We start from the raw sequence: 23,178 nt of genomic DNA, 5'->3' as shown, positions 1-23,178 counted from the left end.
TGGGATAAGGTGTTGTGTTGATCAGTGTAGAAGGTGACTTGTCTGAAGAAACATGGATTTGTATCCTAGGGCTAAAAATCTGCCAGCCAATGTTTGCTTACATTTCCTGGTGGCCGATGATAACTAATCTGGAAACATAATCAGAGGAAAAGTAATCATGAAGCCTGCCGTATATGCTATCTCTTCCCTGTGTTCACACATTCACACTTCTCCATAGTGACTCAAGGCAGCTTTGTATTTCCTGGTGTTATTAAACATTTTTTAAACTATGTAACTACTCTAACATTTTCTCCAAACTATATTTTTTGTGATAATGGCAGCTACAATTAATTCAATAAGTATTTATTGAACTATGGCAGTTTTTAGGCACTGTTTTAGTTACTAGTGGCAGAAAAGCGAGTGACAGAGACAACAGTCACTAGATGCTTTACACAGTTTTTAGTGAAGTCCTGCAATAAACCTGCAAGGGGGCTGTTAGTATCCCTGTTTTATAGATGAGAGAGGTGATGTTGAGGAAGGTTACATCAGTCATAAGTGGATTAATGAAAATTTGAACTCAGGTCATTCCATATACACTTTTCCTTAAAAATGTTTTTTCTCTATTCTGATAAAATGCTATATCCACAAATATACAAACACATGCACACTTTTAAAAAAAACATAAGTTTACAAAAATAAGAAAAGAGTAAACTCACTTCATCATCTCACACTTCTTTCGACGGTATCTTGTGGAAATTCCTGTATCTACCTTGGCTCTGTTTTTTTTTTTTTTTTAATGTCTGACTATAGTCTATGCTGTGGATGTGCCATAATTTTTATTTATTCAGGTCTTGTTTTACACATTCATTTAACAATCTTTATCACTCTATATGCCAAGACCTGTACTATTCACTTTGGGGTACAATAGTTAAGAAAATAGGTATTCTGGCTCTTGGGGAGCTTGCAGTCCAGTGAGGGAAGACACAAGATAACAGACCTATAAGATAAATTTTATACTATGTTAAATATTATAAGAATTATAGAAAAAAGAAAAAGAGCTAGGTATGGTTGACTTGGCAGAAAAGGTGTGTGGGTGTGTGTGTGGGATGCTATACATGTTAGATGGGTCAGTTAATCCTCACTAAACAGGAGAGATTTGGGCAATTATTTGAAGGGTGGTAGGAAATTAGCCAAACATATATCTACGGGAAGAGCATTCTAAGTGCAGAAGAGGCAGCTACAGTAAAGGACCTAAGACGGGAGTTTGCCTGTTGTGGTCCAAGCACAAGGAGGTCAGTGTGGCTGGAATGCAATGAGCAAGCAGTTGAGGAGGAGGTCAGAGGGCTAATGAAGGGATGAGTGTTAGGGGAAGATCCACTGCTTAGAGCCCTTTAGGCCACTGCAAAGCCTTTGACTTTTACTTTGCGTGAAATGAGAGGGCACTGCAGAGTTTTGAACAAAGGAGTGACATAAGTTTATCAAGCATGACTCTGGCTGTTCTGTTGAGAAAAGTTTGCCACAGGGCAAGTGTGTAAACTGGGAGAGTTAGGATTCTACTGCAGTAATCCATGTGAGAGGTGATAGCAGTTTAGACCAAGATAGTGGCTACTTTGGTAGTGTGGGGTAACAGAACATGCTGATAGGATTGGATGTGAAGTGTGAAAGAATGGGAAGGATTCAGGATGATTCCACGGATTTTAGCCTGAGGAATTGGAAGGATTGGATTGTCAGCCAACAACTGAGATGGGGAAGGTTGTGGGTGGAGGAGGTTTGAAGAGGGCAGATCACGGGTTCAGTTTAAGGCATGTTGTTTTTGAGATGTCTGTTAGACAGCAAGGGGATATGTCAAAGTGTCAGTGAGATACAATTGTATAATGCAGTTCCTCCTTCCCATTCTTTAAAATGTCACACATTTTATGTTTTATGTTATAAATCTTACAGTACGTTTTTACTCTTGTTTCTTTAGATCATCAGTGATCTTTTAGAGCAATTAAAATGAAGACAAATTGTCTTTGTTATGTACCTCTACTTTTTACCATTACATTTAGCTATTTATTTATTTATTTATTTATTTATTTATTTATTTATGAGATACAGTCTTGCTCTGTCGTCCAGGCTAAAGTGCAGAGGTGCGATCTCAGCTCACTGCAACCTTTGCCTCCCAGGTTCCAGCTATTCTCCTGCCTCAGCCTCCTGAGTAGCTGTGATTATAGGTGCCCACCACCACACCTGGCTAATTTTTGTATTTTTAATAGACAGGGTTTTACCATGTTGGTGAGGCTGATCTCGAACTCCTGACCTCAAGTGATTTGCCCACCTCGGCCTCCCAAAGTGCTGGGATTACAGGCATGAACCACCGTGCCTGGCCCATTTATTTATTTTGAACTAAGTTTCTGTCTGGTATCATATTCTGAATGCTGAAGAACTTCATTTAACATTTCTTATAACACTTGTCTTCTGGCAATGAATTTTCTCAGCCTTTATCTGCCCTTCTGCCCTGCTCTTGTTCTTCTCCCCACAGTGGACTTCGCTGTGTTATTTTTTGGTGCTGGGTGGGCTGATGGTGAGGGGTATGGGAGAAGGATCTCTGTTGTCTTGTTCCATTCGCCCTCTTATGTAGGGTTTCTCTGCCTGGGCACTGGGAGTTGGGCTTTCTCAATATGCCTGCTCCTCTTCCCTAGGAGAGCTAATCTTTTAACTTGTGTCAGTGGTTGGTCTTTTGTGGGTGAACATTTCTTGTCCCTTCCCCAGTGGTAGGAGTCCTTTGATGGTTGTGGTCTAAGTGCTTGAGCCTGTACTGTTTCTTTCCCTTCTCCCCGCAGTGGTGGATCTTTACTGGGGTCATCCTGGGGATGACATAGTTTATTGCTTTTCTTCAGTAGCTAAAGGCTTTCTTCTGATATGAGAAAAAGGTCAGGACAGGAGGTGTACACTGTCATGCCATTCTTGCAGCAGCTGCTGTTCCGCTCTTGCATGACAGCATCACTGAGGAAGTCTCTTTGTTCTCCCATCTGTTCCCAAACCTCTCTCACATGGGGAGGTCCTTGGAAAATAATGTGAACATGCCTGTGAGCATCTCTTGGGTCTGGGGCTTGCTGTAGTTCTATACCTTCATTCTGTCTCACATTCCTCCTTTAGCAAGTTGTTAAAATGTTAGTTGATTTTTTACTTGTTTGGATGGTGGATGGAGTAGGGCACTGGCCACAGGTAAGCTAGTGCTCTCCTTAAGAAAAGTTATGATTTTGCAGTTTATCATTCTCATTGTTAGGATAGTAGTGATACTCTTACTAACCTTCTTGGTGGAAACTGAACTTTTATATATTTTTTATTTCAATAGCTTTAGGGGTACAAGTGGTTTTTGGTTACATGGATGAATTGTATAGTGGTGAAGTTTGAGATTTTGGTGTACCACTCACTGAGTAATGTATATTAAATCCAATATGGAGTTTGGATAACCCTCCTAGCCTGTCTCTTCCGAGTGTCCAGTGTTCATTATACCACTCTGTATGCCTTTGTGTACCCACAGCTTAGCTCCCATTTGTAAGTGAGAATGTGTGGTATTTGGTTTTTCATTCCTGAGTTACTTCACTTAGAATAATGGCCTCCAGCTAGATCCAAGCCGCTGCCAGAGACATTATTTTGTTATTTTTTATGGCTGAATAGTATTACATTGTGTATATATACATTTTCTTTTATCCACTCATAGGCTGATGGGCACTTAGGTTGATTCCATCTCTTTATGATTGTGAATTGGGCTGTGATAAACATACATGTGCAGGTGTCTTTTTGATACAATGCAGTTGATACAAAGCATTTCCTCTGCTTGCACTCACTCCATCCTGCAGCCCTTGGAAGAAGGTGCGTGCTTCTCTTTTGCCTTCCACCATGATTCTGTTTCCTGAGGCCTCCCTAGCAATGTGGAACTGTGAGCCAATTAAACCTCTTTCCTTTATAAATTACCCAGACTTAGGGAAGTTCTTTATAGCAGTGTGAGAATAGATTAATACACTTCTCATCCCTTTAAAAAAATACTCTGGAGTTATGGTTTTATATGTGAGGTTTCCTGGATCTGTTCTCTAAATATCATATTTTTATCTGGTCATGGTTTTCACTTGAGATTTTGTTTTTGAATTTGATTCTAAATATCATATTTTTATCTGTTCGTAGTTTTCACTTGAGATTTTTTTTTGAATTTGATTCTTATCTCTTTCTTTCAATTCATTCTGTAAAGATATTTAATTGGGAAGTTAATGGTTTTTAACTCTTAAAAGTTTTTTTTTTTTTGAGTGCTGTATTTGAATCTCCTTAAATTTTCTTAGATAATTCAGGTATTCCCTTTAGTTGAGGTATTCTGTCTGCTGCAGAACACAGAGCGTGGGTCTAATTCTTCTGCCTTATCTTCCTTTTTCTAGCAGCTCTGCTCCTTTGTATGGGCTGTATCCCTTGGTTGACTCATTGGAGCTCAAGACTGTTATTGAATAGTCCTCTGTGGCGTCAGTCCTGCAGGTGGTAGAAGGCAAATGGGTCTCTCTTCAGTGGGCCTGCACTGGCAGATAGGCTGTCAGTTCCCTGTCAGTCAGCTTTCTGGTCTCCTTGTACTTTTGTGGGCATCAAGAGCAGGAAAGATTGTGGGCTGTGACCCCCTCCATCTCTGACTTTCAAATTCTTTTTGGGATTCCCTGGTTTTCAGTCCTTGTCCCTGGTTACTCTGCTGTCCTCTACTTTATTACTAAGTCTACTGGAGAGAACACCTCACACCAGATTTCTGCCAGAACCTAAGGCTTCACTTGCATCCATTTGCCCACAGATGCTAGTAGTAGTTGTTTTGCTCAAGAGAGGAAAGTAACAGGTTTGAGGGTGAAGGGGAAAGGTGTTGCATTCAGGTCACCATATACCCACAATTCTTTTTGTCGCATCTCTTCTGCATTTCCGTTTTGTATTATTTCATAAGTGATGCATTTCATAAAGAATAATTCCATTTTATTATAGGCACCACTACATTTCTTTCCCCTGACCTCTGCTATATCAACTGGAGTAAGAGAGACAACTGCAGTAATTAAACTTGAAGTTTTTGTTCTCCCTCTAACAGGAAGCTGGCAGATGGAACAAGATGTTTGTGGCCATTAGTTCAGTGGCTCAAAATGTCAGGGCAGAAGTCTTTGCAATTCTCTTGGACTCAAGGTGGCTGCTTCAGCCCCAGCTATCATGCTCATATTCCAGGTAGGGAGAAACAGGATTAGGTATACTTTCTAGTTGACTCAGCTTCATTTAAGAACTTGTGTGATAGTTCCATACAATGATTTCTACTCACAGGTTGTTTGCTCCCTTCTCTTCGAGATAAATATAGTATTTTACCTGGATACATTAGTACCCTTAACACGATCAGTGTTCTAGTACTAATGGGAATGGATATAGGGAGGCAACTAGTCTGCCTCAGACTTCCTACAGTGGGGAAGGAAGATTGGTTATTTTTCACATTGAACTTTTAAGAAACACATTTAATACACTATTGAAGGTCTAATTATATTGCAAAGGCACATCCATGCACAGTAGTTTAACATTGAAACATAATTATGTTCTAAGTGGGGACTCTAGTCTCCTTCTGTGAAAAACATCATTATTTCAAATATAAATGACTCAACTGCAGATTGATTCACTTTAATGTATTTATTTCATCTATATGTATATTTTTTATTTCTGAACTATTTCAAAGTAAATTACAGATGTTGTGACAATTCACCCCTCAATACTTTAGCATAAGGACATTCTCCTAAATAGCCATGATGCTGTTTTAGCAAATCCAACAAAAATAACAGTAATTTCCTAATGTCTTCTAATGCTAGTCCATATTTAAATTACTCCAATTGCCTAAAAATGTTTTTATAGCTATTTATTTTTGAACCAGGATCTTATCAAAGACTACATATTACATTTAGTTATGTCTATTAAATATCTCTTTAATCCCTCCCTCCCCCTTTTTAATAACAGTGACTCTCTGAAGAGATCATGTCAGTTGTAGAATATCTCACATCTGGATTTACCTGATTACATTCCCAGGGCTTTATTTAACTTGTTTCTCTATCTTCTATAATTCCTGCAGTCTGGAAGTTAGATATAAATATTTCTGGCAAAAATACATTATGGAGTGATGCTGGTTTATTTGTGCTGCATAACAGTAGGGGGCATATAATGTATCTGGCTTCCCACTGTTACTGATGCCAACATTGGGTTAAGGTAATTTTTCTGTTGTAAATGTCCTGTTTCCCCTTTGTTCTTAGCAAGTAATCTGTGAGCTGATACTGCTAAATGGATATATATTTTTTCACCATCAACCTTTTGCCTAATGGTTTTAGTATCCATGGAGAATTCTTGCCAAATCAGTAATATTATTAGGGATTTCAAAATGGTGATTCGCTAACTCAAATATTCCCCCTTTATTTATAAGTTAGCATTCTCCTGTAAAGAGGAGCTTTTCATCATCAATTTCTGCTGTCTGGTTAGCCTGAACTATGGTTAGTATTGAAAAGGCAGGATAAAATGCTTAATTCCTTTTCTTTACTAATTTTAATAATAACTTATTATCCTCTAATGATAGCAAATGAGATTTTAAAAACATTTTCTCTCACTGACAGTATGGGCTTACAAATTTGTTAATGTGTTTCAATCAGTTATCCTCTTGTCCTGTTTGAGTCTCAGATTGTTCTAAATTTGGTCTGTGGAAGCTCTTTCTATTGGAATTTAAAAGCTGGAAGAAATCTTAGAATCAACTAATCTAAATCCCTAAGTTTTGTAGATAAGGAGACTGAGGCTTAGAAGATAGTGCTTTTCCCCACAATTCTGAGAGAGATATCTGCAGTGAATCTTGTTTTTAACTTCTCACTAATAACATTCAGCAAAATGAGAGAAAATGGCCCACATTTTTGCAATCATACAGTTTTTGTTTATTAAAAGTTACTGTCTAGTCCAGTGAATAGAAGATTGAATGGATTAATTATCTGCTTTATTCAGAAACAGTTTGAATAAAAACAAAGATGCTCCATTATGGGCTGGACATTGGATCAGTCTGAGAAGTGAGTTTGACTCAGACAGTTTGGTGTGTACAGGCTGAATTTATCTTGAAGTCACATTTTATTTGACCTGCACAAAGTGTTGAGTTCTTGGAATTCATTGACAGTGTAAAAAATCAGTGATTTCACACACAAATTTGAGTTATTAGCTTCTCTAAAAATCATGTATATATCTGGCAACATTGGGTCCACATGGTGATACAGCAACATTCAGTTGGAGTGGAAAAGTTTTTAGGTGGCATGCTCTTTCCACCTTACCTCCTGGCTACTCTCTAAAATATCATTTACATGTTTATGGTTGGGTATCTGGTGTTGTGTTGCCCTACTGCCTAACTTGTAAGTGTTTGAGGTGGTGACTCTTGAGATAGAAGTGAAGAAGTCTAGGAAAGTTCTTGCAAAGAAATCACAAGTCAAAGGTAATACCAATAATGCAGGCACAAATGGACAGCAAGAAAATGGAAGAGCGGACAGTTTTCCTATCTGCTAGTGTGAAATCTTCAGCAGGTTTATTACAAAAAGTAAAACCAATGATATCAGGAAGTCAGCCAGAAATTTTTGAAGTTTTCAAGAAGAGTGTTTGAAATACAGGTTTCCTTCCTGTCATTAATTTTGAACCTCCTCCTAGGTGTTTAATTTACTAAGGCACATGTATATACTTCATTTATGATGAATCATATGAAAAACTTTCATTTTGTAGGTCAAAAATGGTCAAATATTGGCAATTTCATATAATTCCACTAAAAGAAAAAGAATTATATATGTATGGGGTATGTGCCCCAAACTTCCCTTTCATAGATGTGCTGCCCAAGCAGATCTGAAGTCCACTGAGGTAGAAGAGGCTTATACTGAAGTTAGAATCTCTGTAGGAAATGTGGTTAGTGAATAAAAATAAAATTGTAATTACAGTTTTAAGAAACTACTGTTTGTATGATAGAGACAACAGTGAACAAAGAGAGAGAGAAGGATTGGGTAGCTGGTGCTGGAATCCCTAGGGGAAGGCTTCCTAAGAGTGGGTCTACTCAGTATAAAATCTTCATCTAAAGCCAAATATAAATTAGGTTTTCAATATCTGCATTGTTTCTCACCACAGTAGTATGGATAATTGAGAGTTGGCTATTTACATTTTTATAATCTTGCAGCCATGAAAATTCAAGTTTATTTGATGAACTCTTTGTAACAGACCCGGTAAGGTACTTTGAAGAAATGTCATCAAAGATAGAAAGCTAATTTACCTCCCCTATCAGTGTTTTTAATGTCAGTGTTTTTCAAGCTGTGAATCGCAGCCCATCAATGAGTTCTGTAATTAATTTAGTGGGTCAAAACTCTTTTTTTTTTTTAAAGCATATGAAATAACACAGAGTAGAAAATATGAAGAAATTTATACAGTATCACAGGGTTTTTTTTGTCTTTTCTTTGAAGGATATTCCTGAAATATTAAGTATCTCAGTTTTATAGGTGTGTGTTTCTGTGTATGTGTGAATGTGCTAAGTTGAGATACAAAATACATTTCTTAAAGCTAAAAACCACTATTTATTATAATTTGGTGGTTTGAGTTTATGATAGAGAGTGATTGTTCTCTATTAATGGTGAAGCTTTAAAATCAGCATTCTGCTTAATCTGAATTTTCAGAGCTTTAAGTCTTTTAATAATCTTACTAGGCCTGCATCCAAGCAGGCTTCCCCCGCACCCCCCACCCCCCGATCCCATTGCATTTATTTGAGTTTCTATTCTTTCCTCTTTAGTCCTCTGAACACTGCTGAATTGATAGATTCACTTTTTTTTTTCCCCTCCAAATTTGTACTGCAAAGAGGAACTGATTGGTTTGGATAGATCAGTTACTTTGGAAAGTGTGTACTTAGATTATTATTACTTTCTGTAATAGTTGATAAAGGCTAAATACATGACAGAGTGGACCGAAAATGGAACCACATTCATTCATATTTAACCCTCACATTTATTACAGAAAACACACCTTATTTTTTGGTCTGTTTTCTAGATTGGCTTTAACATAAGCTCACAGTTTCTTCAATTCAGTAGTCAATGTATTGAGTGTGTACATTGGGCAATTGCACGGCCCAGGTCATTGCTAAATTGTAGTCAATGGAAAGCTGAGGAGGTGGCATCAGGTGGCCTCAGCAGTGGACCATGCAGCTGTCTGTCAGGGTTTTGAGTGTTGGCTTGGTGAAGTGGATGTTGCCTGAGCACTCCACTCAGAATAAACCACTGGTTCCTGATACTATGTCTAATCATCGCCACCTGATTGACCTTAATCAAGCAAGCTATTTAAATTCCGAGGCTCAATTTTCTTAGTTGTTAAATGGGGAAACTCCCACATAGGATTATTTGGAATGCAGCACATGGTAGTTCAGTAAGTGTTAACTCTTCTCCCCTGTTCTTGTGGAGCTTTTCCTACCTGCCATCAAATCCTGGTTAGGTCCCATCTGGAGGAGAGAAGTGATTACTTTGTAAAGAAAGCCTCTTTGGGGCTGTTGTGTTTAAGTGTGATGTTGAATGCCCATTTTAGCATGAGGGGACTAGTGAGGCATGAGAGGATTGTGAAGCAGAGTAGGCTTCTAGCTTCTCTGAAATTGGCTGTCTAAACTTTGTATTAATATTTCTAATGTTATGAATAGTGAGCAATCTCCCTGTTTCTTTGCTATGCCTGTGTTTAAATTACTTACAATTATAGTCTTGATTTGAGGAATCTCTGGGTATTTTCTGCCCCTAAGTTAACATTAAAGAAATGGTCTTCCTGGCTCTGCCAGTATTTATGGCTTCTCCGGACCTCTTTTCTTCATCTGTAAAATGAGGGGGCTGGGTTAACTATTAATATTTGTAATTCTTTAAGCTTTAAAATTTTACTGTTCTCAGGAGTTGGGTGTTCTGTTGTTCATTAAGTAATTTATATCCTTGAAATATTGCCTTAGTGGTTATCTTTTCTCCTTACAATGTTCATCAAAAGAGATTTTGTTGGTTTTTTTCTTGCATCACCTCCATGTGAAGGGAAGGATTCTGCTGAAAAATAGTCATAGGCAGGTTTAGAAGCATGAGTGGCTCTGTGTCTCCTCTGCACACATTTCAACAAAATGTCTGGTTGGACAAATTCAACTCATTCCCACTGTCTCTGCAGTCCCTGCTTTGGTCACTTTAGAGAGAAAAGAGTGTTACTTGCCCATTGAACATGTCCTTAAAAGTCCCGTCAGGGTAGATTGAAGGACAGCCCATTTCCAGATTCTGATTTTAACAAAGACCAGAATTCTGTATCTCAAACTAGTAACACGGGTGTTTCTCATGCATGTGGGCTTCAAAGCACACACTTCAAGAAAGCATGGTTTAAAGTGTGCCCATTTGCCTGTTTGAAAGATTGGCAGGCAAATTTAAAGTTTATTTATGAACACTCTTCCTCTGAGAATGCCAAGCCCACGTCCTTCTTGTCCAGAATATGGATGAATTTATGATTTTTATGGAAACCAGGTGATTTTCTGCCTGGTGGGCTTGTCTCTCAAGTCAGACAAAACTCAGTGCTTTTTTCAACATCGCTTGCCAGAGGCTATGAAGAGGATTGAAACATATGAAATACAATGTCCAGTGCCTTGTCAGAATTTGAAAGTAAATGATTTAACCCTTTTATGTTGCTCCTATGTTGTGGATTTAGCGTTTTAGGCTAAAAACAGATTAAGTTGGATTGTAAATAAACATTTTGTGTTGGGTAAATTAGTTAATATTTCAAAAGCATCTCTTCTTTGGGCATGAAGATTTGCAGAAAAACATTCCAGAAGAAAAAAGTCGTTTATTTTAGTATGTTGATTTATTGTACTAATCCTTGTTCAATATAATCATTGCTACTCAGGGTGAAAAGTTCGGACCCTTTGCTGGAGAGAAGAGAATGCCTGAAGACTTGGATGAAAATATGGATTACAGGTTGATGTGGGAGGTGAGGATATGACTTATTTTAATGTTAAAAATATATTTGTATTGTACCATTTAATGCATTTTTAAGGCTACATTAATTGATATTGATTCCAGTTAAGTATTTAAGTATTGAAATGTTTTAGGTTTTTTTTTTTTTTTTTGAGATGGAGATTTGCTCTTGTTGCCCAGGCTGGAGTGCAATGGTGCGATCTTGGCTCACTGCAACGTCCGCCCCCCAGGTTCAAGCGATTCTCCTGCCTTAGTCTCCCGAGTAGCTGGGATTACAGGCGCATGCCAACATGTCCAGCTAATTTTGTATTTTTAGTTGAGACGGGGTTTTGCCACATTGGCCAGGCTGGTCTTGAACTTCTGACCTCAGGTGATCTACCCGTCTCGGCCTCCCAGAGTGCTATGATTACAGGCATGAGCCACTGTGCCCAGCCAAAATGTTTTAGGTTTTAAAAAAAGTTCAGCTTTTTTTTTTTTTTTTTTAGAGAAAGTGGACTGTTGAGATATCTTACTAGACAGTTCTTTTAGAGATCTGAAGTTCTTCGTTGAAAAATAAGTTTTTCAGGTATAGTGATGTTTGACTTTCAAAATAAGCATGCCCTGAATTTAGAACTTGACTTCTGTAAATAAAATTATACTTAATTTTTTTTATTTACTAGTTGAAGTTCTAATTGTATAGAAACAAATCTCAGTTTCATGTTGTAACAAAAATCCCGCCTTAAAATGTACTTTACCTTTAAAAACACATAGTTAAGGAGTTGTAACACTAGAGACAGTCTTTTGCAGTCTAAAGTTTCACTTAAGCAGAGATCTGTATATGCCAGTATATGTCTGCACGTTATGAGAATTTTCATCCTAGTTTATGCCAATTATATTCGTTGCTGTTCTTTTCTAGGCATTAGAAAAAGGACCTAAGGTATCAAAATAGGAAAGCAGTGGTGTAGACTGTTGAAACAAAAATTTGGAAAATGCAGTCCTAGGAATTATATATGCATGTGTTACTTAATGACAGGGATTCATTCTAAGAAATGCGTCATCAAGTGAACATCATAGAGCATATTTGTACAAGCCTAGATGGTATAGCCTACTGTACTCCTAAGCTATAGGGTATAGCCTATTGCTCCTGGACGGTAAACCTGTACAGCATGTTACTGTACTGAGTAATGGAGGCAATTGGAAGACAGTGGCAAGCATTTGTGGATCCAATGTATCTATACAAGCCAGGCACAGTGGCTTGTGCCTAATTCCAGGTACTCAGGAGGCTAAGGCAGGAGGATTGCTTGAGGCCAGGAGTTGGAGCCCAGCCAGAGCGACATAGCAACCCAATGTCTTAAAAAAATATAAAAAATTATCTGGGCCTTGTGGTACGTGCCTGTAGTCCCAGCTACTCAGGAGGTTGAGGTGGGAGGATTGCCTGAGCCTAGGAGTTCAAGGCTGCAGTGAACTATGATCTTGCCACTGCACTCCAGCCTAGGCAACAGAAGGAGACCCCTTCTCTAGCAAATGAAATTGAAAAAGATCTAAATACAGAAAAAGTACAATAAAAATATAGTATTATAATCATAGGAGACCACCATTGTATGTATAGTCACTGTTGACTGAAACATTGCATTGTGACCCAAGACTATTTGATAGTTTCTATGAGAAGGGTAAGAGCTGAGATACATGTAGGAGGTAGAGATTATGCAATCAGAAAAGGTTGGAAAACTGGAGTTTTCCACACATAGAGAGTCTCTCTTGCATGTATCAGTAAGGGTCTTCAGAGAAATAGAACCAAGGAGATAGTATATATATTTGTTTATTTTAAGGTATTATGTTATTGTGGTGGTAGCAAGTCTGAAATTTATAGGGCAGGTCCTCAGGCTGGAACCTCAGGCAGAAAGGTGATGCTGTGGTCTTGAGGCAGAATAGCTTCTCCAGGATACCTTAGTTTTTGCTCTTAAGGGCTGTGACTAAATGGATGAGGGCCACACATGTTATGGAGGGTGATCTCCTTTACTTACAGTAAACTGATTGTAGATGTTAACCGCATCTACAAAATACCTTTACTCCTATATCAGTATTTGATTGTTAGATGTTAACCGCATCTACAAAATACCTTTACTGCTATATCAGCGTTTGATTAAATAATTGGGTACTATAGCCTATCCATAGTATACATAAAACTATCAGTGTATTACCTGTAAGCAAAATGCATTTTTAAGCATCACCCGTATTGTTGAAACTGCTGGGGGTGAGGAGTGGAGGTGACTGAGAAAGGATTCTGAAAGGTTTCTTCAGTGCAAGTGATAAAAAATGGAAATTCATAATATAGTCCTCACTATAATTTAAGTGGGAAATGTTATTGATATTGTCTGAATTTAGCCTGCTGTTTTGTTTACTTTTATGTACTTAAACATTTTAATGGCTTTCACTATGTTTCTACAAGGTCTTAATTTCCTCAGCAGTTAATTCTTTTACTATGAAGGTTTTTCAGAAACCATACATTTATGTGAACCAAAAAAACCTGATAACTTAGTAAGTCATAAAATGATAAAAATGCTACATTTTTAACAGGTTTTTTCTTTTTTAAAAATGTTATTTGTATAAATTTAAGGGGTACAAATTCAATTTTTAACATGTTATTAATAGTTTATGTTACTTGTTTTGTTATCTGAAAATTTTAGTGTGATGATCATATTAATGTTTTGTGTAGCTATAAGGTAGTGTTAAACAGATAATAATTTTTATTTTAAAAGGAAGACTTGCATATAGGAAACAAAGTCATTTTTGTACTATTATATAGTTGACAGTTCCACAGTACATCATCTAGTTTTGCATTATCTATTCCTGTAGTTCTTTAATGTCTTTGCATTATTATTTTGTTTTCACACTAGTTGTCTCCAGCTCTCTCACTCTGCTACCCAAGGAGCTATTGATTTTATACATTTTTATGCTCAGGTAATGGTACACTCACACGATTGCCATTCTCTGTTTCATTTTACTTCACCCTTTATGTCTGTGTTTTGAACAAGTAATATTTTTACTTGTTACACAATTCAGAAGGTACAAAAGGGAATTGATGAAAAGTCTCTGTTCCCTTCCAGCCTGTTTTTTTCACCTGAGACCTTTTGATACATTTAACCCCTTAGTTCATATACCTTCCCCCTCCCCTTCTGGTTCTTTTTCCTCTTGGTCTCGTCTTCATTTCGGATTGTCAGCCATTGTATTAGTCTGTTGTCATGCTGCTAATAAAGACATACCTGAGACTGAGTAATTTATAAAGGAAGGAGGTTTTTTTGTTTTTTTTTTTTTTTTGAGAAGGAGTCTCCCTCTGTCACCCAGGCTGGAGTGCAGTGGCACGATCTCAGCTCACTGCAACCTCCATCTCCTGGGTTCAAGAGGTTCTCCTGCCTCAGCCTCCCAAGTAGCTGGGATTACAGGTGCATGCCACCACACCTGGCTAATTTTTGTATTTTTAGTAGAGACGGGGTTCTACCATGTTGGCCAGGCTGGTCTTGAATTCCTGACCTGAAGTGATCTGCTGGCCTCGGCCTCCCAAAGTTCTAGGATTACAGATGTGAGTCACCATGCCCAGCCAGGAAGGAAGTTTAATGGTCTCACAGTTCCATATGGCTGGGGCAGCCTCACAATCATGGTGGAAGGCAAAGGAGAAGCAGAGGCATGTTTTACATGGTGGCAGGCAAGAGAGCTTGTGCAAGAGAACTCCCGTTTATAAAACCATCAGACCTTGTAAAACTTATTCACTACCACGAGAACAGTATTGGGTAAACTGCCCCAATGATTTAATTATCTCCAGCTGGCCCTGCCATTTACACATGGGGATTATTGCAGTTCATGGTGAGGTTTGGGTGGGGACACAGAGGCAAACCATATCAGCCATTCCCTGCTCTGCCCAGTTGTGCAGCTGGACAGGGGAAGGGACAGATTCTGTGGTAGGTCTTCTAGAGGGAACATTTCAAGAACAACACTTTTAGAATTGCAGAGTTATTGCTTGCTATCTTTAATCTTGTCCCTTATTATGTTGAGTGAGCAAGCTGCTTCCAAACCCTGAGTTATACCATTGAAAGTCCTTTATTTTTTTATTATTTTAGCTTTGGAGGTGCTAGGATTCAGAAAGAGCACAGATACAGGAGAATAACTGGTCCTGTTACTGGTCCTGCTTCTGCCCCTTGTGGAACTGTTTGAGTCTTTCCAAAGGGAGATAATGAGCCTTCCCTCCTCTGGTGGGTAAATTTAGATTGGTTATGGGAGTCATTTCTGCTATGCCCCATATCTATGGTGCTAACCACAATGAAGCTCTCAAATGAGTAGTCCTTCTCAAAAAAATAGTTACATATGTTGTGGTTATGGAACATGAACCAGAACCTGGTGGTAGTGTCTGGAAAATGATGTCATGTGAGAGAGCATGTGGCATAACTCCTTCTCAGTTTATACCTGTATTCTGCTTATGATGCCAGTGGTTGTGGTGGACAAGGCCAAGAGCCCCTGGGGAGCCATTTCATACCAAAGAACTTGGAGTTACCAGTCAGGATTGAGCCTCCTGGTAGGTGTGAGCCTTTGTGAGCTTGGGACAGGGTATGAAGGGATCTTAGGGTCATGGGGAGCACTAATAATATCTACTGCCACCTCTCTCTCTTTGTCCAAAGGTGCAGCTTAGAACTTACTGATGCCCACTGCTTCAGAGTGCTCACTAGTACCTCAGTTACTTTCTGTATTGGCCATCAGGTTTTGAGCTTGGTCTCTGAATAGACTGAGTGTTGTGGGTCTTTAATCCTTCTTGATCACCTCAGATTTTTACTTTTCTTTTAAAATTAAGTGCTTAAGCAGAAGAACTCTGGATTTCTTGGGCCTCAGGCATATTACAAAGCTTGAGGTTAGGAACCAGTGTTTGACTGTAAATGCTTCCCTTGGACAATTTGGTGGAATATACCCAGTTTTCTGCATTGTATTCCATTCTTCTCTTAATTAGAAGTCTTTCTGTCTACTTTTTGCCAGGTGGTTTGGAGCTTGAGATACATTTCCTTCAATTCTCTACTAATTCAGACTCATTCTATGACCTATGACCTATGTTCTATTTGCTAAACTCTCAATAATTCTTTGTTTTTACGTCTCCAAGACATCCTCTTTCTATAATATTTTCTTAGATATTTCAAACCACAATTCAAGTACGTTTTCTCCAGGCACTGGCTCTGTGCTTCCAGCATATAACTTTACATTTTGGCACCTGTGGAATGCAGCACAGTTTGTGCATTTCCTTGCTACCTGTTCTGACCATGATTTAGTTGTTCTAAAGTGGCTACTGGTGAATCCAGTAGCAGCTGGAATCCTCCAAACAGCTCTTTTCTATTGGCTCTGGGCCTTTCTTTCCATTTCAAAAGTGATTCTCTGGGATGCTTGCAACAGGTTTTGTGTAGAAACTGCCCTGATAAGTTCTCAGAAACTTGGTGTTGTCCTATATTTCCAGTGGAGTCATTCATTCTTGAACTTTACAACTGCTCCAAGATCACAAGGTCTCTGCCTCACTCTCCTCTTTTTCTCTCACTCATGCTGAGTCTGCATTTGCCTCTTAGTCTTTGAACGTTTCTGTGGATGCAGTGGGTGTTCAGTGGTGTGATCTGATGCAAGTGGAGTCATATGCTATGCCACAGTTCAGTACACTGGGTGGTCCCTCTGGAAAGACAGCTTTTACTGTGTGCAGAATCCTAAAGAACCAGATACAAACTAAAATTTCAAGTAAAATATCTTAATTCTGGGTGGCATTTTCATAGGAAAAATTTAAGCCTCTTTTACTTAAATACATTATATCATCCATAACTTATGCTAAAAAGGTATTTATCTCAACACAAGGAACATTAGGACAAAACCAAAACAAATAGAGGTTGAACTTTGCTTTTTTAAAAAGTCTGTGGCCTCGTAAGGGTTCCAGATGTAACACAATGTGGGATACCCAGAGCACTGTGAGAGCCGTGTGCGTCACCTGCAGCAGCCTGACTTAATGGCATTTAAAAAGTTTTACATGCATTTATTTTCCTACGTCTGTCTCCTGGATCATTCATGAGAAAACTCTATGTTTTACATCTGAGGTTAGTGTATTACCAGGGTAATTAGTCATTACAACCTACTAGAAAATTGCATATTACAAAATCCAGAGGATCAAATTATCATGATTTTATTTATTTTTGTGGGCAGTTTCTGATTTTGTGGACTGGATAAATAACATGTTTTCAAAATATAGCCATCATGGTGGGAACAGGGTGAGGGATAAAAGACTGTATATTGGGTACAGTCTATACTTCTTGGTTGACAGGTACACTAACATCTCAGAAGTCACCACTGTAGAATTCATCCATGTAACCAAAAACCACTTGTACCCCCAAAGCTACTGAAATAAAAACAAAAAATTTAAAAATTTAAAAAAGGATGGAAGCTTGTACATAATCTATCACTCGTTTATTTAAATACATGAGGACATATATAAAAGTGCTTAATGTACCTAAAATAGAAGTGAATGGGTAACAATAGCTGTCTCTAAGGAAAAGGAATGGGTGACAAGAAATAGAGGAGAGAGGGAGACTTTTTTATTACTATATAATCTTTTTACCTTTAAATTTTTATTGTGTATGGGCATTACCTGTTGTGTGAAACAAACTTTTTTTTAAGCAATAAATACCCCCCAAAACTCCACAAAATATAGCAATTAAAAGACATCATTATAAGATTTGCAGCTGTTTTTGTATGATTGTGAATCTCTTACAGTTATAGCAAATTATTATTTCAAAATAAGTGTACATAGCAGATGAGTTGGGGCTCCTTCTGTTATTGATGGGGTTTAAGACATCCATTTATCAGTTAAAATATATATGGATTGTTTTTGGAAACTTCTTTTCCAACCCTTGACTCCCCTCTTCACTTACACACTGGTGATGGTTCTTAGTTAATAACCTCTGTTTGTCCTTGGTTATTAATTTGAACCAATGAAGAACAGATAGGAACCAGATGAAGATAAAATATCTACTTTATTAATGAGCATGTATGATATTATGAAATCTATATTTGGTCCTCATCTACTTCCTTGACATTTAACTCCTAAAATCCTTGGAATCCCTAGAGTATAAGAGTGTTTTTTGTTTGCTAATGAGATGACTGGAGGCTGGAGTCCCCTAGATAGCCTCCAGGATGGGACTGTTTGCCAGGGGAAGCAACCACGTGGTGATTAGAGGGTTGGAACTTTCAGCCCCCTGTGTCCCCCTCACCTCTAGGGAGAGGAGGGTGGCTGAAGGTTAGGTTGATATACTAGTGACTAATATCAGTCATGCCTAGTAATGAAGCTTCCATAAAAACCCAAAAGAACTGTGTTCTGAGGGTTTCCAGATAACTGAACACATGGAGATTTCTGGAGGGTGGTGCACCCGGAGAGGGCATGGAAGCTTTGCGTCCCTTCTTTTATAGCTATTTATCTCTTCTATACCTATGCCTTTTTCTGTATCTATGCATCTCTCCCATCTGGCTGTTCACCTGTATTCTTTGGAATATCCCTTATTAATATACCTGTAAACATAAGTGAAGTGTTCTCCTGAATACTTTTAGCCTCTCTAGCAAATTAATTGAACCTGGGGAGTGTGTCATGGGAACTCCAGTCTATAGCAAGTTGGTTAAAAGTTTCAGAGGCCTGGACTTGCCACTGCCTGGTGCAGGACAGTCTTATGAGACTGAGCCTTCAACCTGTGGGATGTGACGTTATCTCCAGATAGATAATATAAGGATTGAATTAAATTAGAGGACACCCAGCTGGTGTGGTACTGAATAATCTGAATAATCCACCAGAGAGTTGCTTGCTTGGTGTGTGATGGGGGAAACCCTACCACATGTGGTAGTAGAAGTGTTCTGAGTTGACTGTGTTGTGAGAATAAAGTAGGAGATTCTGAGTTTGTTGTTTTCCTATCCCTACAGCATGCAATAATTTTCTAAGTACCTAGCTCCAGAAAAGCTGGATTGGTGACTAGGAGCCCAGGCCTTCATGCCTGGCTTCTGAAATCTTGAAGTGTGTACCACCTGTGGCAGGAATTGAGTCAGGAAAGTAGATTCAAAATCTATTGCCAATCAGCTGTGTGACGAATTATGGCCTAATTCAGACTCACTTCACAGCATAATTGGAGTGGAGGATAACAGAGAGCACTGGAGAGAGACAGGTCTCCAGCCTGTGTAGAAGGCACATCCTGAGTCAGCTGGTATGTCTGCTTACTATACAGCATGGGGATGGGCACAGGAAATTCTGGCCCCTGCTTTTTTTCTGAGGTATGGTAACCAAAGTAAGTATCAGACCCAATGACTATCAGGGTCTCAGTAATCAGCTGAAGAGAGGGAACCATGAAGGAAAGAAACCCAAAGTATATTTATTCCAATCTATTTCTCTCATGGAGGAGGAAGTAAGGAAATATGAAAAAGGAGAATAAGGATTCTTTATGAGAACATACAGAATTATGTTCTTCTCGTTTCTCATACAGAAAAAAATGATGTGCTCGTTTGGAATTCTTCACAAAACAAAAATAGGCATGGTGAGTGAAGCGGGATGGAAAGAGGAGCGCTATCAGACAGTCAGACAGTCTTCAGTCTGATTGCTGCCCCTAGGATGCAGTAGAGCCTTTATTCTTCTGGGACCTATGTTTTAGTAGCAAAGATAGAATTAAAACATCTGTAATAAATAATATAGTGAAAGGTAGTGATATATGGTATAAAGAAAGTAAAATAGGGCAAGAAAGCTTCTGTCTGATACGAACTTGAACACATCAATATTACTGCTGATAACAACTCCAAAAGACAGGTTAAATATAAAAATAATTTGTTTAACAGCTTCAAGGGGTGTTAAAGCAAGGAGTCCTAGAGTGACTAAAGCTCCAGAGAGGTGATAATTTTGGAGAGATGAACTGATAATCTGCAGTTGCTTTTCTCTTGGGGAAGTGGTCAGACTGCTGATTCTGTGTATAGGCAAGAGGCTAAAAATCTGAGCTCAGCCTGTCTAGAGGGTTACTCTTTGAGGACACAGAAATAGGTAGAGCTTTTGGAAATCTTGTCGTGTGAAGCAACAATATTGGAGACCCAAAAGGACTAAAAAATATTGCTGTCTCCTTCTCAAGACATTTGCAGAATTATGAAGCTGCGTGGCAGATTATTATAAAGTTAAGCCACATGCCTTTGAAAAGCAAGGTGTTCTGTGGTCTCATCTTGCTGAGGAGAGGCTTTCAGTGCATGCCATACTTTGAATTGGAAGCACCATAGGGCTGTGGGTAGGAATATAGTACACTGAAACAGACTGAGCCTTGCCACAACTGAAGCCCAGCTGTGAATCACCTCACTCCCTGATGCGTTTAAGGTGAACAGTTTCTGCTCTGCCTGATAGAAAACAGGGTAAATCTACTCCAGAGAAATATAATACCTGGATCCTCTAAACTTTTCAATATAAAATATCCAGCATTTTATAAAAAATGACTAGACATGAAGAGATAGGACCATATCACTAAAAATGATAAAAGCTGGACAATAGAAACTGACTTAAGGATATTTCAAATGTTGATTGGAGTTGGCAGATGTGGACTTTATAATAACCATGACTGTTATACTCTAGCACATGGAAGAAAAGATGAGACAAAAAGAGGAAGAGATGGAGAATTTTACTAACAAATTGAAATGTATAAATGGCAAATTTATACATTTAGAGCAAATTTATATTTTAGAGCAGAGAACTCAGTGTGCAAATTACATAGTAGGTATGACAAAGCAAAAGACAGAATGAATGAAAAGGAAAAGAAGTCAGTAGAAAATATTGAAAATGAATTACAGAGATTAAACTGATATGTGAGACAGTGAAAATATCTAATACATCTGTAATGTTAGGACCTTTTAGCTTAGCAGGAGAGGATGTAGAAAATGGGACAGAAGCAGTTTTGATGAGGTAATGGCTAAGAATTTTCCAGGACTTTTTAAAAACATTATCTGATGAATTGAGGAAGCTGTATGAGCCTGAAACAGTGTCAGTAGAAAGACGGTTACACCTACAGATATCTTAGTAAAACTACTTAAACCAAGACAATCCTAAAAGCAGCTAGAAAAAAAAGGAGACATTAAAAAAGAAACAGTAAGAGTGAGAGTTGATTTTTAACAGAAAAATTAAGATAGTAGACAACTGAATAATATTTTTAAGATGCAAAAAGAAAATAGCTGCCAATCTAGAATGCTTTATCCAGTAAAAATATCATTAATAAAATGACCTAGTTCTTCCCATCTCTTCCAAATGTGACCTGATTCTTTGAGTCACTTCTATGTGACTGGTTCTTTGGATTTGTCAAAGAATTAGCTTTAGTTTAAGGCTAAGGCTAACAGCATTGTTCACATCATTCATTCTTCAAATGAGGGTACTAAGACCACCTCCAGATCTTACCCAGAGGAAAACTTTGCTACTTTGGATTTACTGAAAGGAGGAAAAAAAAAAAAAAAACTATAGGAAGGCTGCGCATGGTGGCTCGCGCCTGTAATCCCAGAACTTTGGGAGGCTGAGGCAGGCAGATCATGAGGTCAGGAGATTGAGACCATCCTAGCGAACACGATGAAACCCCGTCTCTACTAAAAATACAAAAAATTAGCCGGGCGTGGTGGCGGGTGCCTGTAGTCCCAGCTACTCGGGAGGCTGAGGCAGGAGAATGGCGTGAACCTGGGAGGTGGAGGCTGCAGTGAGCCAAGATTGTGCCACTGCACTCCAGCCTGGGTGAAAGAGCGAGATTCCATCTAAAAAAAAAATTATGTGTGTGTGTGTGTGTGTGTGTGTGTGTGTGAAATATTTAAGCACAGGGATGTTGCACAAATTGAAATAGACAGACTTTACAAACAAGCCAGTGAGGAAATTTCCAAAGTAGAACAAAAATGTAACAAACTTCAAACTATTTAAAAGAGGTTGTAATTGATCTCCTGAATTTCAAATTTAGAGGTACTGTTAATCAACTATGTGCAAGTGACTTCCCTGCTTGAAATGCGAATGAAGAGATGCTGTGCTATCTCTTTAGAATGAAAGTGACAGAATTTAAAGATATTAAATGATATTATAGAATAGATTTTTATTTTGCTGAAAAACCTTATTTTAAAATAAAGTTCCTCGCAACAAATTTCATCTCAAGTAGAGTGGTGGCCCATCTTCAGTGTTGACTAAAGTTAAATGGGAATCTGAGAAGGACTTGATTAAATGATCATGTCAGAAGTAAAATAAAGCTGTCTAGAAGAGGAAGCATGAAAAATCTCAGGCCTTCTTCACTTGATTCACCAATGATTCTGATGCAGGTGCAGGTGAATTAAGAGAGCTCATCAAAGTTGCTCTTTGGGACTGGGCATGGTGGCTTATGCAAATAATTGCAGCAGTTTGAAAGGCTGAGGTGGGAGGATAGCTTGAAGCCATAATTTGTTTTTTGTAGAGACAGTGTCTTGCCACAAAGCAAGATTTTTATTTTGCTGAAAAACCTTATTTTAAAATAAAATTCTCACCAACAGATTTCATCTCAGATAGAGTGGTGGCCCATTTTTAGTGTTGACTGAAGTTAAATGGGACTCAGGGAAGAGATTGCAACAAAGCAAGACCCTGTCTCTACAAAAAATAAATTAGCCAGGCATGGTGGTACATGCCTGTTGTCCTAGCTACTCATGAGGTTGACGTGAGAGGATTGTTTGAGTCAAGGAGGTTGAGGTGTCAGTGAGCTATGATGGTGCCAGCCTGGGCTATAGAACAAGACCCTGTCTCAAAATGAAACAAAACAAAAACCTGCTATTAAAGCGCAGATTGGCTTCTTATATGATAGATAAAGAAGTGGAAGGAGAAGAAGCTGATGTTCATAATGATGATGAAGAAGACTTGAAACATATTTTGATGAAGAAGATGAGGGCAGAGGGGAAGAAGATGAAGATGGTGTTGATGTGGAAGAGGGAGGAAGGTTGAAGAGGAAGATGACTAGTGGAATACTAATAGATTCTGACCCTCTTTTTACTTTTAGAAATTTTGCATTCTTTGGGAGCCAGTTGCCATCTCCTATTTTTTCCCCTTTTGTACTCAGTTGCCTTGTTCTAATAAGGTCTCTTTCTCTCTCTCTCCCTGATCTGGTTCTTCACTTACTTTGTGGGAGACTCTTGAGCAAAATACAGTGGAAAAAACATCTCTACCCATTTCTGTTCC

At 38.4% G+C, this 23,178-nt stretch overlaps 1 protein-coding gene and 1 pseudogene across 22 annotated transcripts in view; both read left to right on the top strand.

The window, feature by feature from the left end:
• Positions 1-23,178, top strand: part of PRDM5 (PR/SET domain 5) — a 238,436-nt gene that overhangs the window by 4,273 nt on the left and 210,985 nt on the right. For 21 of the 22 annotated variants that reach the window (XR_938678.2, XR_938680.3, XR_938679.2 and 18 more), the window contains exon 2: positions 10,897-10,980. Coding sequence is in view for 19 of the 22 variants with exons in the window: in XM_047449558.1 (XP_047305514.1) it covers positions 10,897-10,980 (84 nt within the window). In the remaining 3 variants the exon portion in view is untranslated. Of the gene's footprint in view, positions 1-2,363; positions 5,200-10,896; positions 10,981-23,178 lie in introns of those variants that run through there. The other variant, XM_017007668.3, reaches the window with a different exon arrangement.
• Positions 21,805-22,336, top strand: SETP12 (SET pseudogene 12; annotated as a pseudogene).

The sequence above is a fragment of the Homo sapiens genome, chromosome 4 (genome assembly GCF_000001405.40).
Source record: "Homo sapiens chromosome 4, GRCh38.p14 Primary Assembly".
Taxonomy (NCBI): domain Eukaryota; kingdom Metazoa; phylum Chordata; class Mammalia; order Primates; family Hominidae; genus Homo; species Homo sapiens.
The sequence above is the reverse complement of the archived record's forward strand: the minus strand, read 5'-3'. Positions and strand labels throughout refer to the sequence as shown.